At 39.0% G+C, this 13,202-nt stretch overlaps 2 annotated features.

Moving 5' to 3' along the window:
- Positions 9,313-9,372: an enhancer, noted in NCBI's record as "active region_16628". NCBI's record gives its function as "activates an Ori minimal core promoter by ATAC-STARR-seq in GM12878 lymphoblastoid cells {active_cell/tissue: GM12878}" and the evidence as "EXISTENCE:reporter gene assay evidence [ECO:0000049][PMID:35858748]".
- Positions 9,383-9,462: an enhancer, noted in NCBI's record as "active region_16627". NCBI's record gives its function as "activates an Ori minimal core promoter by ATAC-STARR-seq in GM12878 lymphoblastoid cells {active_cell/tissue: GM12878}" and the evidence as "EXISTENCE:reporter gene assay evidence [ECO:0000049][PMID:35858748]".

The following is a 13,202-nucleotide window of genomic DNA, read 5'->3' as shown; positions in this document are numbered from 1 at the left end:
GGTATGGCTTGCCAATCAAAACTGGAGTCCATCCTCTATGAGTATTTAACCCTAATGCTCATTGTCTACATGCTTTGGATAGCATTTCTTTTTAAAAATTTATTTTGGGCAGGCGCGGTGGCTCATGCCTGTAATCCCAGCACTTTGGGAAGCTGAGGCAGGCGGATCACGAGGTCAGGAGATCGAGACCATCCTGGCTAATACAGTGAAACCCCATCTCTACTAAAAATACAAAAAATTAGCCAGGCATGGTAGCATGTGCCTGTAGTCCCAGCTACTCGGGAGGCTGAGGCACAAGAATCGCTTGAACCAGGGAGGTGGAGGTTGCAGGGAGCTGAGATCTCGCCACTGCACTGCAGCCTGGGTGACAGAGTAAGACTCCATCTTAAAAAAAAAAAAAAATTTTGAGGGGTAGAATGGGGTCTCACTATGTTGTCTAGGGTGGTCTTGAACTGGCCTCAAGCAGTCCTCTCACCTCGGCCTCCTAAGTCATTGGGATTACAAATGTGAGCTATTGCACCCAGTCTGGGTAGCATTTCTAAGCTATTTTTAAATATCTTGTCCCAGGGAGTTGAGGGCCACCATTTATTTTATTTAATCACAGGTTGACAAGAGTAGATGGCCTTATGGAAGTTTAATATCCTCTTAACATTTTTTCGGAATTTCAGCTCTTTTTGTACTTGATGACTTATTGTTTACTTGGTGTCATAATTGTTATAGAACAAGTGGAAGAAGTTTTTTCATTATAAGTCCCTGTTGGAGAAGAAGGGAATTCCCACAGGCCAAGAAAAGGGAACAAGAGGATTAACCCCTGGCATTGTGGCTGATATGGTTTGGATGATCTGTGTCCCCACCCAAATCTCATGTTGAATTGTAATCCCCAGTGCTGGAGATGGAGCCTGGCGGGAGGTAATTGGAACATGGGGACAATTGCTAATGGTTTAGCAACATTCTCCTGTTGTAGTTCTCTTGATATTGTTCTCATGAGATCTGGTTGTTTAAAATTTTGTAGGACCTCCCCCACTCCTCTTCCTCCCGCTCCTGCCATATAAGACATGCCAATTTCCCCTTCACCTTACACCGTGATTGTAAGTTTCCTGATGCCTCCCCAGAAGCTGAAGCTGCCATGCTTCCTAAACAGCCTGCAGAATCTTGAGTCAATTAAACTTCTTTTTTTTTATGAATTGCCCATTCTCAGGTATTTCTTGATAGTGGTATGAGAACAGAGTAATACAGTAATCCATCAGTAGACTGTGATTTACTGGGTAAAAAAATTAAAAGCATTTTTTTAATTTAAGGAAGTCAGTATAATAAACAAATAAAAATATTTTACATAAGATCCCCTAGTTCCATCCATGTTGCTGCAAATGATAGGATTTCATTTTGTTAAGTGAAATAAGCCAGGCACAGAAAGGCAAATATTGCATGTTCTCACTAATATATGGGAGCTAAAAATAAAAACTTGAAGTCATGGAGAGAGAGAGGAGAATGATGGTTACCAGAGGCTTGGAAGCATAGTGAGGAGGGGGGATAAAGAGGGAATGGTTAACAGGTACAAAAATAAAGTTAGAAGGAATAAGATCTAGCATGTGGTGGCACAATAGGGCAATTATGGTTAAGAATAATTATATATTTCAAAATAACTAAAAAAGTGCAATTGGGATGTTCCTAACACAAATAATATATGCTTGAGGTCATGGATACCCCAATTATCCTAATTTGATCATTAAACATTGCATGCTTGTGTCAAAATATTACATGTACCCAATAAATATGCACAACTAGTATGTATCCATAACAACTAATAATTTTTAAAAGAATATTTAAGGATTCATTCCTTCTTTAAAAATAATTCCAGGGAAGCTCAAAAAAAGTAAAATTAAAGACATGTCCAGAATCCTTTAACTTTCTGATTGCTGCCATTCTAAGTTGTTCTTGAGAGAGAACTAGAAAATTTGAGATGAATAAGCACATGTGTGCTCCTACACATCACCACACTATCACAACTGCAGGAATTCTAGACGAATAACAATTAGACTTTTAGAAAAATATTGCTAATGATGTGCTATAGGATATCTGTTTACTCCCTGTAATTATTTGGGGAACTCCTTGTAAGTTCTTATATGGATGTGTCTTTATTATGATCATTATGTCCAACAATTTACTTGCATCCATGCTGGTCTCATTTTTCTAAGAAGAATCTTTACCACTCTCTTCTGGAGAGCATTTTATTTCTGTAGGGCAGGGGGCTTCTTCTTTTGTATTGCTCTTCTGTCAGGACGTTTACCTCTTGACTCGTTACAGGACACACCCCACAGACATTTGGAACTTAATTGGCCTTTCTGGTTTGGTTATTCCCAAAAAGTCACATGAAGGGTTGAAAGTTCCCTAAAAGCATGTAACTTCTTTCCTATTCAATTATAAGTGGTTTCCTTCCACCCCACCTATTTTTTTCTCAAAAAAGGCAGAGGAAAATGATCAAAAATTTCTGCTGCTTTGATTATCGTGGCTTTTGGTCAGCAGATTGTATAAAGGTGAATAACTTCTGATTTTTTTGATGACCTATGACTGTCATTGGATATGTAGAGTTTGGTTATCATTGCAAGGCTCTGATTGGGAGGAAGGGAAGCTCCATCAACCAAGGAAGGTGACAAAAGAGTTGGTTTTAGCTGGAGATCCACAGTTGATTGTACCTCACTGGTTATTGGTCAAGAAGGCTTATTCTAGGGTGTAGAGAACGATGCAGACAAATTGCTGGCTTTTTTATGGAACTAGAAAGCATAATAATCCTACAGTGTAGACAGATGCCAAGTATCTGGGCTGGTGAAAAGCAACATATTTGACAGTATCTAACCTAGCACAGAAATACAGAATGCTAGGCAGGAGCCAGCGAGACACTACAGACATCAGTGAGGGAGCAGCTTCCTTCTGTGACCCCACAACCTGGCTTTTGGACCTGGGATTATTGTAGTGGCCAGAGGGACAGAATACCTTTACAAATTACCAAAGATTTACTCTTTAGCACCAATGATATCATGTAGATTAAATAACAAAATAGAACAAAAACAAAAGCAGTCAATGTTGCTACCTTTGAATCATTTCCTGTTGAGGATAGTCAACCTAACGAAGTGTTAAGAGACCAGTTGATCAAACAACATGAATCTCTGATGCCTTTTTCCATTTTTACCTGGTTTGTTGGTAGTAGGTTGAGACAAGTTTAGGCAGCACACTCACTTCCATACAAAAGATAGAAGATAGTTTGTGAAATCTTGTAAGAGAGACAAAAACAAATATTTTAAATTTTTTCCTCAGGAAAAAATTAAGCTTACAAAAATTGTACTGCTTTACACATGACAGGCTTTTCTTTTATAGCTGTACTTCCCCAGCCTTAAAATCATTTCATAAGTTATTACACAAAATTCATTGGATTATTTTTCTCCTGAGGCCCTCTCCTGCCCATGCCAATCAATCTGCCTTCTTCTGAATCCATTCACTATCTTACAGGAAAAAAAAAATTTATATATATATATATATATACACATACACACACACACACATATATATACACATATATATACACACACACATGCATATAATCTTTATACATATGCACATATATAACCCCACCCATTTTTTGTAAATAGAAATATTTTAAAAATTTGTACTACATTATAAAATCTAAATGTTGTTATATTATATAAACTTGAATATCTCATCTATAAAATGGGTAGGGCCAGGTGCAGTGGCTCACGCCTGTAATCCCAGCACTTTGGGAGGCCGAGGCGGGCAGATCACAAGGTCAGGAGATGGAGACCATCCTGGCTAGTATGGTGAAACCCCATCTCTACTAAAAATACAACAAATTAGCCAGGTGTGGTGGTGGGTGCCTGTAGTCCCAGCTACTAAGGAGGCTGAGGCAGGAGAAGGCGTGAACCCAGGAGGTGGAGCTTGCAGTGAGCAGAGATCGCGCCACTGCACTCCAACCTGGGCGACAGAGTGAGACTCTGTCTCAAAAAAATAAAAATAAAAATAAATAAAATAAAATAAAATAAAGTGGGTATAATTACACCTACCTTTAAAAGATATTGTAAAGATGAGAGGAGTTGTGTAAAGCACCTAGCCCAGTACCTGATATGTGGTAGATGCTAATAAATCACAGCTCTTATTATTAATATTTTTTAAATGTTTTCTAATGTGCAAGTAAGCCACATCCCATAAGGCATTACATTTAAAACTGTAGGTTGTGATCATTTCTAGGTCATGAAGTCAGTTTTGTGGACCATGGCAAGAATCAAAGGAAAACAGAAAAAAAGAAAAAAAAATCTCAGGGTATGTTACTATAAAAAGGTTAGGAATGGGCCAGGCACGGTGGCTCACACCCGTAGTCCCAGCACTTTGGGAGGCCAAGGCGGGCGGATCACGAGGTCAGGAGTTTGAGACCAGCCTGACCAACATGGTGAAACCCCGTCTCTACTAAAAATAAAAAAATCAGCCGAGGGTGGTGGCGGATGCCTGTAATCCCAGCTACTCAAGAGGCTGAGGCAGGAGAATTGCTTGAACCCAGGAGGTGGAGGTTGCAGCGAGCCGAGATCGTGCCACTGCACTCCAGCCTGGGGACAGAGTGAGATGCCATCTCCCACCCACCCCACCAAAAAAAAAAAAAGGTAAGGAATGTTTTCTGAAACTATTATTCTGGTGTTTACAATATGTGGTCAGTATTTGTGTTTGTATTTGTGCTAGGCCAAAATTTCCACAGGGCATGTTCAAAAAATGTTGTGAGCCATTGATAGAGAAAGGGGTGGAGAAGTGACAGGAGATGTGACAGGCCTGTCTAGAATCTCACAGCTGGGAAGCTGGTAGTCCTTCTAACTTTGCCCTCTTTACAAGACTGGGAGACCATGCTGTTCCAAGGCCAGGAGTTTATTCCTCTGCAGACATTCCTGGGGCTGATGACTAGGGAGAACTGGGCGAAAATCACCCTAGGATGCAATGGACAGTGGTGCCAGAAGCTCAAGCCCAGGAATTCCCTGGCCATACATGGATCCCTATGTCCTAGAGCATTTGGGATGGGAAGCCTGACTGCCAGGTGCTCATGGTGATCCCATTGATATGGTGGTGATGAAGCTCTGGCATCTATCTACCATGGTCTTCTGCTAGTCTCCAGGGACTTGGACACCATTGCCCCCTCTACTGGAATGGAAGCTGGGATGAATAAAAATCCAGGTCTGTGGGTGGGATGCAAAGTTTTGCTTTCCTCCCACCTGTACCTTTAAGACTGTGGTGCTAGCCTCTTTATGCAGCCAATGCAAGAATCAGGCCTCTCTATTTTTGAGTGAGAAAAGAATGAAACAAATGTTTTGTAAATTCCAAAACCTTGTTATTTAAGATCAGATATCTTACAGTGTTCTGAAGAAAGAATGTATAATCAAGATGTGAGCAATAGAAAGTGATTAATTCCTGGCATTATTACAAAAATGTTAAGTTATGATTCAAGAAGATCTGACTGTACTTACTAAAGAAAAATACTCACCCAAGTGAAGACTGAACAGAGAGCTTTCCACTAGAATGTGGAAAAGAGTTCATCTGTTCTTCGTGGTCATGGAGGTGCTCTGCACCTCATGGACTCCAGGGAAGCCTGGATCTCAGAGGAGCCACATGCAGAGAAAGAGGTAGTTTGCTCACAAGCATCACGGAGACAGTGATGTCAGAGATTGCAATTTCTATTCTGCCCCAGGCTCAGGTTCAATTTTAAGACCACTGGAGTCATCTCTGGGCACAATGCTATAGCATCAAATACTTGGAGGCTATGGGGAACGTAAGGCAGGGGCCTCATGCTTTGGGCCACCTTCTGATTACCTGGTCCTCCAGGTAATCAAGCTTGAGGACCACCTATCATGTGCCACTGCCCTCTTTTGAGTCTTATTTTTGAATCATCTCCTCCAGTCATCCATCCATCCCTGAGGCTGCTCAGTGTCCTCCTCCTGCCTTGAAGGAGATGGAGGAAAGAAGGATGATGCACTTTGGTTCCATGGAGGCTTACAAGAGCACCGTGGAACTATTCTGCTTTGAGGAACTCTGCATGTAAATTTGTGTGCATGTAACGTATACACAGACTCACTGCTCTTTCAGAGAGCTTGGAATCACTCCTACACGGGCTACAGGTGAAAAGGAGCAGAGCAGGGAGGAGAGAAACCTCACAAACAATGCCACTGTCTCTACGTGAGAGGGAGAAGGTGCCCTCATCTCCTCCTTATCCCCTTCCAATGGCTAAGATGTGCATGCCTACCTCTCAGGAAGACTATCATAACATGTTAATGAGGTATACAATTGAGTAACACTGCACATGTAAGTGAAATTATGCAACTACATCAGAAAATTGGTATGAGAATGCATTATTGAGATGCAAGTGCCCTATTTCTAAAAATATGTCGCTCGCTGTTTTACACACACACGTGTGCACACATGCTCCATTTCTACCACCCCCCACCAACCCCAGCCACTAGTAAGGGGTTTTCCAAGTCACATGTTGGAAATCCTACATTATTCAGGGTAACAAGGAAAGTGACAAAGGAGTTAGGTTTTAGCTGGAGATCCACAGTTGATTGTACCTCACTGGTTATTGGTCAAGAAGGCTTATTCTTATTTGTAAGAGTGTATAACCGGCTGCCTTTTGAACCAGTCCACACATTTAACACAGAATTGAAGTTTTAGCAAGGACGAGTCACTCCAGGATGTGGCTGTGTGTTTCCAGAATAGTCCTAGACATATTTGAGTGAGAAAGAAATTCAATGTGTTGCAGACTCCATATATTAAATTTTTCTGTTGCCCACCTTTTTGTGTATTTTTCAGATATGTTTTATACTCTAAATCAGGAGCATTTTGCCAGGAATTTCCCTCAGAACCTCTTAAAAAGTCTGTACATTTGGAGATAAATGAAATCCATATGTTCCTGATTTATTCTCACTTTCTTCATCAAAACGTTACTTTCTACAAGGCACTTGATCATCAATAAGCTATATGAGATTTTTAAAGGCCTTTTTTTCCCTAGAAAAGGGAAAACACATTTGATCAATAACATAGTTATAAAGTCAAAGTTACACAAGAATTTATAAAGATATATTGTTTTACTATTTAACTTTAATAACTTAGGCTATAGATATTTGGAAACTCACCAATCATTGTCAGAAAAATGCACATTTTTGTTTTTTTCTTCACAGGATAAACACACTTTTTTATTTATCTTTACAGTGACTTTCTAAAAAATTTGGTTCAAGATCTAGAAATGTACTTATCTTACATTTCAATACATCTAAATATAAATACCTTTTACAGAAAAATCCTAAATCTGTAAACATGAACATATAGTCATAATACATAGTTCTATGCACATAATATAATAGAAGACAATACTTCTCTCTCTAGACACAGAGCTCACTGAAGACGACAGGGATGTCTTCCTCATCTTGGTATCTGCACAAAGTAGGTCCTTGATAAATATTTGTTGACCAAATGAAAACATTAAAAATAACACTAAGGAACACTTTTATAGAAAAAAGTCTGCTGTTTCAGACCTCAAAGGGATGCCAGTTGAACAAGAAAGACTGTGTCAACAAGACAATACACTAACTCATACTACAGTCTTATTTTAAAATTGATTAAGGCCAAGTGCGGTGGCTCATGCCTGTAATCCCAGCACTTTGGGAGGCCAAGGCAGGCAGATCACAAGGTCAGAAGATCAAGACCATCTTGGCTAATACAGTGAAACCCCATCTCTACTAAAAATACAAAAACAAAATTAGCCGGGTGTGGTGGCGGGCACCTGTAGTCCCAGCTACTCGGGAGGCTGAGGCGGGAGAATGGGGTGAACCTGGGAGGTAGAGTTTGCAGTGAGCCGAGATCGCACCACTGTACTCCAGCCTGGGAGACAGAGCGAGACTCCATCAAAAGAAAACAAAAACAAACAAACAAAAAAATGATTAAAAGTGCATGGCTGAGGGCAGGAGGGAGTGGGGGATGTTCTCAATCATACAGCTGTTTAGCTTTTCCCAGCATAGCTCCTTTTTGAGAAGAGGAGTTGGGAGTTGGAGTTGGTTACAGGGCTGGAGATTAATTTACATTCAAACTTTTAATGTTAACATGATCATTATACTTCAGAAATAATATTTTTGTCTATGTAGCATTTTATACATATATACACACATACATACACATATAAAATATAAATATATACAACAAATATGTATTTGTTTTGTGTATTTGCTCAGCTATATCTAATTCTACATGTAAATTCGTGTGCATGTAACATATACACTATATATGTAATATGAATTTATATATTATTTATAAAGGAGAATAAGGTAAGACAATACCATTGCAGTTCATATATTCCTTTTACATCACATATTATTTACCTAAAGAACATTATTTTCTTTTGGACCCTTCAAGGAGGCTGGCAATGATTTCTGATGTCTGAAGCTTGTTCACACTCATAATTTTATAGGAATTACCAAAGAGTAAAACATGAAACTCCCTAGAGACACTCAAGAAACTTAAAGCCTTCCTAATTGATATAATCAAGTTTCTAGAATCACAAAAGAATAAAGAAAACTTGTTTGAGGCTACATTCCCCATCAAAGATTTTCACTGGATTATTTTTTAAGCTGCAAAGACGATGAAATGGAGACCAAAAAGATCTGAACAGCAACATTTTCCCACATACCAGCATTGCTGACTTCTAAACATAAAGCCATTCATCAGAGTTTCAGGCTCACAGAATTCCCTGTTTCCACAGAACCCACATTCACCTTTATGCAAAAATGCTGATTCAGAACAGACATTGTGAGGAATATTTAGATGTGTGGCAACTCTTTCAGTTCTAAACACTGGATGTGGAGTATAAACGTGGAGAAAGGAACTTGTGAAAGCAGGAACTGGTATAATTCGCTCTGGGGCAAGACTTCAAAATGCAAATAACAGAGGAATAATAATGCTATTAGTCATTCAAACCTTAGTGGATATTAGTTTAGTCAAGGCTGCTGTCATTCTCATTAAAATCAGCTGCTGCTTTTAGCCTTTCTCATCACCCACCCCTGCGGAGATTTTATGGTGAAAGTATAGAACAGAAAAAAGGCATTGTGGAGGTAGGGAGTGGGAGTGGGGAGCAAGTAAGCACAGCATGATTTGAGAGACAATTGCCAGTAATAAAAAATAAATAAAATGTGAAAGAATATCCCAAATGAACTTGATCTATTTTGGAATTTTGACAAAGCCACATCAGGTACCAGAAAACTGTCTTCTTTCTCTTGTCTTCTTCCCTCCCACACTATACCATGACCACCTGCTCCTAGAAGACAGTTCCCTACCCCACACTCACAGGACGAAGTCCAACACAGCACTGTGGTGACTTCATCTCCATAGATGGTTTATGGGTTTCTGTTTCACATAACCCCAGAAGTGATTTCTGTAATAGAATCGGTAGAAGTTAGAGACTTCCTGTTATAAGCTCACAGTGGTTTCCAAGTGATTACAGAAACAGGGTTTTTTATCAAACCAGATAGGGGAGAGGAAGCTCTTCATTTGTCAGTTACTGGGCATATGTAATACACTGTGCACTGATCAAAGCACAGGGCAACAAACTGATGCATCAATGGTTGTCTCTTCTAGGAAATCACAGTCTTGTAGGTACTGCAGATGTTCTTACAGTTTGATGTGAGTGGTGCAAACAAGCAAGGCCAATTTAAAATTTGTTTGGGTGGTAGAAACTTTTTCCAGTATTCCATATTCACAGGCAAAGTGGATTGATAAAATCCAGTGGTGTTTGCAATGACTGACTAGTGACAATGGAAGATTATCTAGATGAATCAATAGCAATGAATGTCTGCATTCACATCCTGATTACATGTGAGGTCCTAGGATCTGGGTCCCAAAGTCGAGTAGCTCCAGCTCATGCATGTAAATGTGCTGAATGGGTAAGAGTGGGCAAAAGAGACAAGCCAAAACGTTTCTCAGGCTAAAGGAGATTGGACATGAGAACGAAATAAGACACATCTAAGTGCAAAAGACTAAAGCCAGTTATTAGCTCTCTCTTTAGCTCTCTCTCTCTCTCTATATATATATAATATAAAACATATTTATATATGGTATATATGTATGTGTATATATAATGTATGTATGTATGATATATATGTATATATTTATATATGTACGCATATATAAAATATTATATAATACATATATATAAACTACTCTCTCCTAGTTTGCTTAATTCAACACGCTCATGTTCTCTCTACGTGTGTGTGTGTGTGTGTGTGTGTGTGTGTGTATGTGTATTAGGAGATTTCCTATGCCTGATTATCATAGCACAAGGTGATGATGTGCTATGCCCCTGGGCATGGGGAAAGTGGGGTTAAAGGTACCCTCTGAGTTTAGACATTTAACATGCTGTCTTAGATGAACACGTATTAGCATTTTAGCAAAAAAGAAGCTGGTGAAGGAATGATAAAAATAGAAGAGCCAGTGAAGGAAAAGCTAATATAACCTATTAATGTATAAAATATTTTTAAAGTTATTTTTGTTTTTTGTTTGTTTTTGGTGGAGACAGAATCTCGCTATGTTGCCCAGACTGGTCCAGAACTCCTGGCCTCAAGTATTCCTCCCACCTTGGCCTTCCAAAGTTCTGGGATTACAGGTGTGAGCCACTGTGCTTGTGGAATTGTCAGGGAATGATTTATAGTGAAGTTGTGTCAATAAATGTAATCTGAAGAGTGATGTGCAAGTTCTTATGCAAAGAATGACAGCCAGCAAACAAAATACAAAATGATTTTTGATAAAATGTTCAGATAAGAAAATTAAAAAATTAGTTTGACTGCATGATCTAGCCATAGTTTTCTCAGACCCTTATCTTCCTATTTAATAGGCAAAAACTATTACAGAGACCTAATTTAATAATCTCTAGAACAGCTTTAATATATTTTTACATTTAATCTTGTTTTTGAAGAAAAGGTATAGTACAAAGCAATAGTTTCCACAAAAGAAAAGAAGAACACTTCAAATCACTTGAATTAAAAAAAGAAATAAGTATATATATATATATATCTTCTGTAGGAGATGCAAACTGAAGATAATGAATTAAAATTAACTGAAAGAAATATAATATTCCATCACATACAATACGTAGATATTGTTCTGGTGTTAAAATAATTTATTGAAATATTTTTCCTTTCTCTGAGTTAAAAATAAAAATTAAGTTGTTCAAAATGTCATTTTTTATAGTGCAGAATATCAATAATATGTCCAAAAGATACCTGTGATGAAAATATTATATAGGATTTGCTAAATGCATGCAACTTATTTCAAAATGATTTCAGAAGAATTCCACTGTCACAGTTCTGTTTCCCAGCAGCAGTGGCACCACCAGTAACCAGGCAGATACTGGCTTTTCTGGTTCAGAAGAGCAAAGAATGTTGACAGAAAGCACCACCCAGTGATTCATGTGTCACAAGAAGGTTTAAATCATTCTTCAGTAGAAGAATTTCCAAGGTTATTCCTTCCCACAAGCTTTGTATATAAGTCACTCTGCTATTCCCATGGTTACCAAAAGGGGAGAAAAAAACAGTATACTTCAAATTTCAACTGCTTTGCTGTTCAATCCCAAGCATAAAGTGACCTTCATCTGAACACTGTCTCCTAGAAAGTTTATTTTTTTCAATTGATTTGGATATGACCTGTCCCTTTGAAAACAATGTACAAGTATCCCAAACAGACAACAATAACATTTATCTTCTATACACATAATAAAAGCTAGAGTTTTGCATCCAGCTACACTGCTTAACTTTAAATAATCTGAGAGGATTGGACAGCAAGGAAATTACCCAGAAAACTATCATCTGGCAAAATTTTATAAACGAAGCAAAATGGAAAGATAGAAAAAATGATTCTTTGAGTTGGGTTGTTGGGCCCAGTAAGCCATGTGAAGGATTCCCATTAGCTCCAGTTAAAGGGACTATTTTAAGCTTTGTAGTTAAAAGGAGTTATTAAGATACAAAAGGACAAACCATCCAGGTTACATGGCTCATGAGTCCTACTAACTCCTTTTTCCTCAAGGAAATATAAGAAAGCAAACAAGCAAAACAAAACAAAAAGATTTGTAAACCAAAAATAAAATTCTAAGGCCCCCTCAACCATCTGAATAGACTTTCTCCTTGGCAGGGCCTCTTTTAAAATTTAACCTGAGAGACCGTTTCAGGCCATGAAGGGAAATGGGAGTTGGACATGTCTCATTACACCTCTCCAGCATTGACATCAACACAGACCTTAAGTCTCATAAGAAGCATTTTACAGTCTCTCCTCTCTGAAGCCTGCTACCTGGAGGCTGTATCTGCATGATTCAACTTTGGTCTCCACAACCTCTTATCTTAACCTAGACATTCCTTTCTATTGATCCCAGGTCTTTAGGTGAACTCAACCAATTGTCAACCAGGAAATTTTTAAGTCTACCTGTAAGCTGGAAACCCCCACTCCACCCCCAACTTACACCCAGCTTCAAGTTGTCCCACCTTTCTGAACGGAACCTATTTATTTATTTATTTGTTTTAAAAAAGGAGTCTTGTTCTGTCGCCCAGGCTGGAGTGCAGTGGTGTGATCTTGGCTCACTGCAACCTGTGCCTCCCAGGTTCAAGCACTTCTCCTGCCTCAGCCTCCTGAGTAGCTGGGACTACAAGCACGTGCCACCACGTCTAGCTAACTTTTTAAAATTTGTTTACTAGAGACAGGGTTTCACCATGTTGGTCAGGCTGGTCTTGAACTCCTGACCTCAAGTGATCCACCTACCTCGGCCTCCCAAACTGCTGGGATTACAGGCATGAGCCACCACACCCAGCTGAACCAATGTATTTCTTAAGTATATTTGATTGAAGTCTCATGTCTCCCTAAAATGTATAAAAGCTGCACCCCAGCCACCTTGGGCACATGTTCTCAGGACCTCCTGAGGGGCTTTGTCATGGTCACTCATATTGGGCTCAGAATAAATCTTTCTAAATATTTTACTAGAGTTTGAATCTTTTTGTCGACAGACTGCAAACAGCAATGAAACATATATCTTGCTTCTGCTTAATCTGTAGTCTATAGTGTTAGAGTCTGCTCAAGCCTCATTATCAGTCATAGAGGAGATGATCTGAGATTGGTGTTTCCAGCAAAGTTCTTTC

The sequence above is a fragment of the Homo sapiens genome, chromosome 2 (assembly GCF_000001405.40).
Source record: "Homo sapiens chromosome 2, GRCh38.p14 Primary Assembly".
Lineage (NCBI taxonomy): Eukaryota > Metazoa > Chordata > Mammalia > Primates > Hominidae > Homo > Homo sapiens.
Note: the sequence above shows the minus strand (reverse complement) of the source record. Positions and strands in the feature narration are given on the sequence as shown.